General features: G+C 37.5%; 1 annotated feature.

The window, feature by feature from the left end:
- Positions 3,785 to 4,286: an enhancer, noted in NCBI's record as "NANOG hESC enhancer chr3:181839149-181839650 (GRCh37/hg19 assembly coordinates)". NCBI's record gives its function as "activates a minimal SCP1, AML or CMV promoter by ChIP-STARR-seq in naive H9 embryonic stem cells {active_cell/tissue: H9 hESC(naive)}" and the evidence as "EXISTENCE:reporter gene assay evidence [ECO:0000049][PMID:30033119]".

Below are 5,492 nucleotides of genomic sequence, written 5' to 3'. Positions count from 1 at the left end.
ATTCCTAAGAGAAACTGGGCTCATTCCAATCTTTCAAATGTGTTTACTACTTCATTCAGCAAGTATTTATTGAGTGTATACTGTGCCAAACCTGTACAAATACTAGCATTGACATAGCGAACAAAAATTATAATTGCAAGTCCTTCGGTACTTGCAGCCTAGTTGACATGTGTGAGTATGTTGGGTTCACTGATACGTCCTTTGTGCCCTGGTCAGATCCTGCATCTGATGTTCAGTTGCAGCTTCTATATGTTTTTTTCTTCCCTTTTCTGCTAATTTGGAGTTAAAAAGTGGGGAACTGTTGAAGTTGAATTTGGGGTTTTAACACTTAAACAAGCAATTATCAACTATTCACAGTAGCACAGAAAAAGACCACACATTACCTGAGATCGCTCTAAGATGCAGTGGTGGAAGTATATATTAAATGTGGTGAACTGCTCTTTTTCAAGCTCTCTAATACAGTTTGTATTTTAAATATGTTCTTTAAGCCTCCACTACAGTAGGAAATGTGGGACAACAATGAAGAATATCTATATCCTTAATTGCACGTGTATTATTTACAAGGTACTATCTCAAGTGCTTTATGTTCATTATTGCTGTTAATCTTCAATATAACTCAACAAGACAGTTTTCATTATTATCCTAGTCTTGATGATGTGGAAACTGAAGCTCAAGGTGGTTCTTTAATCCAAGGTTAAACTTACCCAAGGTAAGGTAAGTATGTAAATGCTGAAGTCAGCATTTCAAACTAGTTTTGTCTGATTTCAGAGTATGTTCTCAAACAAATGCAATATTTTCTCTAAGTCCCTGCCTTCAGTGCTTTTAGTCTTCTGGGAAAGAAAGAAAAAATGTCATTTTTGGATTAGTGATAACTACCATAAGAGGAGCAGGCACTAGGTTAATAATGGGACACATGGAAAACCATTAAAGTCAATTTTGAGGGTCATAGGAGGCAACATCTAAGCTAAGCCTTGAAGGATATACAGGCATTAACCTAGTACAATGGGAAGAAGGACCATCCAAGAAGAAGAGAAAGTATGTGCAAAAGTCCAGAGGCAGGTCTGGGGAACTGCAATACAGGGGCCGTGATCATCTGTAACCATCCAGCCACCATGTAGCATAAGTTGCAAAATGCTTTCATCCAAATGACCTCACCTCTGCTGGGATGTGACATGAGGGCACATGAAGGCCCTGGTCATGCTTGTAAAATTGGATTCAATGTTGGTAGGAAACCCTATTCCCTACACTGAATCACTGCACAAGCCTGGAATTCCGGTCACCCTAGGGCGGTGCAGTCTTGGAGGAGGGCACATTAGCACATGGTCAGTGTGGGCTCAGCTGTGGTCATTCTTCTGTCTGTAACTGCCTGACAGGTGGTGATTGGCTGTTCTGTCTTTGTCACCAGATGTTGCTGAAATTCTCAGACTTTGGTTCTACATCAAAAGCCTACATTTTAATGAAGGGGAACAGATTGAGTAACCAAAAAGAGCCAGTTCTGTCTTGGCAGGCCAAAGAGTGCACAAATAGAGACTGGGAAGGCAAAGGCATGGGATTTGAGGCAAAACCATGAAGGAGATGAAGTCAAATCTTTACAGTCTACCATAAACATCTTTCTTGTGGCACTTTCCCTGGGGCCATTATTTCTGGACCTTCATTAGTTTCAAAGTAATGTGGACTCAATGTCATTGAGCAGTATAGTTTCAGGCATTCATTACTTTATCTTACAGGGAGAAATAAAAAGCCTTCAGAAACACACAGACCTGGATTCAAGCCTTAGCCCTAGGACTTACTAGCTGTGTGGCCTTGGGCAAGTTGCTTATCCTTATCTTTACAATAAGGATAATAATGTAGATTTTGAATGACCAGCTAGGGGATTAGAATGTAATGTATGTAAAGCAGCTAGTCTGGCCCTCTATAGGCATTCAATAAATGGTAATTATTATTATGGTTATATTGACATTTAAAGAATAATTTTTCCATGCCTTAACTCAAATTTTGACTAATGGTGGGAGTTGGGGGCTGCTGGAGATAGTTATTTCTGATTATTGATTATTTTCTAAATCAAACAATAGTTTAAATTCACCAGGCTCTTATCCTTTAAAGGAATTCTATAGTTAAATATCAATATTTCTGAGCCAAGAAATTTAGACACGCTATCTGATTGATATTAGTAAATTTGTGAGAAAAAGAGAAAAAAAATATTTGAAATTGGGACTGCCAAGAAAAATTTAATATATATGGTTCCCATACCTATATCCACAATTTTCAGGAAAAGAGCCCCCGGTAATTAATGATCTTTTCTAATACCTTGAAGCTTTATTGTTCCTGATTAACTAGGTACTCTAGTACTCCAGGACTAAAAACTACACTCACCAATTGGTAGAAAAGAGGGCATGCTTTTACTCCCTTAAAACTGAGTAAACCAGATATTTGTGCTTGATTTATTCAGTTATGTATCAGTGCTAAAGCAGGACATTCAAGAGAGGCACAATAATGGAAAGAGCTCTGGGCTAAGAATCAGAAGACTTGGGTTTTAATTGTGACTCAGTCCCAGCTAGCTATAAGAATATGGCAAAAAAGAGTAAAACAAAAAGGTATCACACTGTCATTGGAATGGAATAGAGCAGTGGGAGTCAGCAGGGGTCTTACCACTTAGAAACGAAATGCGATGTACCCAGCATCTGCATTTATTTATGGTTACAAGTTAAGCAACTCCGGAAGTTTAGTGAAAGCTTTTAGGCTTATCCATAAAACTCAATAATTATTTGACACTTCATTTACTTATATGTTTAAGAAAAATAACAGCTATAGAGCTTTGATCCTCAAATGTCATGTGTGATATTAATTAAACTATTTTCTTTTAATAAACATATTTTTGATATAGTAAGTATTATGAGAGAGGTGCTGTCCTGACATCCTAAATTTAGAACCCTAGAATATTACCAGAAGATTTAACAGCCGCCAACGAGAATATATCTTTCAATCTGTGTTGAAGGAATCTTGCTCAATTACATGATTCTAAATACAAAAGCACACTTTACACTAAAAAGAAATTTTTTAAGGGACATAGAAGTATTTCATTACTTAAATGAGTTTAAAGGCTTCATTTGAAGAAATATAAATCACTTACCTTATTTTAAACCATCCATGTTTCCCCTAATGGTGTTTACTAAGTCTGAAAGGCACTTATTTAAAATAAGTAGAGTAACTTGTACATTGATTAAACTGTCTATCTCTTAGGTAGATCATAGAACTGCAATTTAGCATATAGAGTTGAAGACAGCATCAATTAAAGATATAGATAGGCTGAGTCAGGTGCTCATCAGAGGAGATGGGATTAAAGATAGGTTAAAAAAAAAAAAAGAAACCCCAAAGTATGCAAAACCTAAATGCAATGATATAATGAAAGCACAAAATCAAATCAATTGAGATAAAAATGCAGCACTTACCAAGCATGATCACCTGAAAAGCGTGGCAAATTCCTGCAAATTGCAGGAATTCATATTGCAAAGTACTCAGCAATACTTCTGTGTAGTTCTATAGAAAGCCCCAAAAATCCTGCAATATCTTGCAAAGTGCTCCACAGGTATCCAATACTTTTGAACTGATATCATTCTACGTTCCTCAGTGGGTCCAAATCACGTAACCACTGGTCTTCAAGTGATGAAAAGGTAAGCCCTGGAGAAATGGAGGACTGGTTTTCAGTTTTGAGGATGGGTAGAGATCAAAAATCGACTACTCAGAGATACCCTAGATACCAAAAAATACAAAATAAAAAAAATGCTCTTTTGATTATTTTTAAAAAAGTATTTGCTTCTAAAAAGGACAGAATCCCCCAACCTCCCAACCCATATTTTAATAACCCAACAATGGAAGAGAAATATTTGACAGAGGGTGTATTGGATGTTGATGATCTCCAACTGCTTCCAAATCTGCATAAATAAAACTCCAACAAATCCCTACACAATGAACCTACTGAATGGGGCTCTATTTATCTGCCGCTGAAGGATAAAGGGCCAAGCCAATCCTATTGACAGTTAAGTCTGTAGCTTCCAACATATCACTGAGGTCACTAACCCACCACTACAGTACAGGCTGACATAAGCAGCTGATGTGCTAAACAAAAAGTAGGGCTCAAATCAATTCACTACTAAAATCCAATTTAGGAAGCTCTCAGTTTGCACAGTTTTGGTTGATCAAATTCAGAGATGGGATTAGATTCATATTTCAGTAACGAAGATCAGGGTTGGGAACTGATATATTGAAAGGTGTATTTTTCCATTTCTTCTCTGCATAAAATATTCATGGATGCCATGTTCTAAGTGTACTCTGACAGTGTAACAGCTGCCAAAATCCTGGTACCTGAGGCCACTTTTACATCAATAAATTATCGAAGGTTACATCTGTAGCAAGATAGCTTTATTTGGCTACGCAAATAATACCAAGGTACACAACACAGTTATCCCAGCTTTTGTTCCCTTGAGAGTGGACTATTGTTACACTCTGTGCTGCAAAGCATGCTGGGAAGCTCCAACCAAGATGTAAGGAGGAAAAATACTTGTCTCTGTGCTCTAATAGAAACAGTACAATATAGCTGCAAGGTCATAATTTGGAGTCAGCTATCATAAGCTGTGTGACTCAGAGAGGTGGTCACTTTCATACAAACTCAGTTTGTCCACAGTTTAAAAAGGAATGTTCCTCTACCTCCCTGCAGGGCTGTTGAGTTCAATAAATAGGCAATTTCTCTAGATGGTCTGCCACATGATGGACAGTCAGCTAATGTTATTTAAAGTGCTGCCTTCTAAGAACGCATCATATAGTACTGCAACACCAAGTATTGCATCAGTCACAAGAAGTCTTAGAGAGCTTCTCTCTTGCTTTAAGAAAATGGACTAAGTGTAGAAATACAATTTTCTGAAGGCGTTGGTTTCACAAATGAAATATTAATTCATTTGCCATTCTCACTGTCTTTCTTCTATTATCTCTTAGAACTCTGGGTGTCTCCTTCCTCCTGCCCAGAGGAAATTCCTGAATTTATGGGGGCACCTGCCCAATAAAGCTGCTAACCATGCAGTCCAAATAGGTGTTAAAGACTTTGTATTTTTAAAGCACTTTTAAAAACCTATCACTAAGCTTCTTTTTTCAGCTATAAAATTATAGATGAGACCAAGTGGCAACCTCATACCAAAAGCCACAGAAAGCTCTGGTATATGACACAGGATTTACACTTGGCTTTGAGGATGAAGGTCTGTTGAATAGTCGTCCTGCTGATGTATGCTTAGGTTAAGTGGAAGAAGCATGCTAGGTTGCAAAAAGAACATTAAAACAAGGTCCTAATTGCTCAAACTGAGGCAGAACCTCATATGCTCCCCAAAACACATGGCTGTGAGCCTCCTTGCCAGGTAAATACCCTTGCAAGGTATTTCTGGATTCACTCTTTTGGATCTTTCAGGTGCTTTTCTTTTAATCAACTTAAAAAAATCAATAGCTAA

Source organism: Homo sapiens, chromosome 3, assembly GCF_000001405.40.
Source record: "Homo sapiens chromosome 3, GRCh38.p14 Primary Assembly".
NCBI classification, from domain to species: Eukaryota; Metazoa; Chordata; class Mammalia; order Primates; family Hominidae; genus Homo; species Homo sapiens.
The sequence above is the reverse complement of the archived record's forward strand: the minus strand, read 5'-3'. Positions and strand labels throughout refer to the sequence as shown.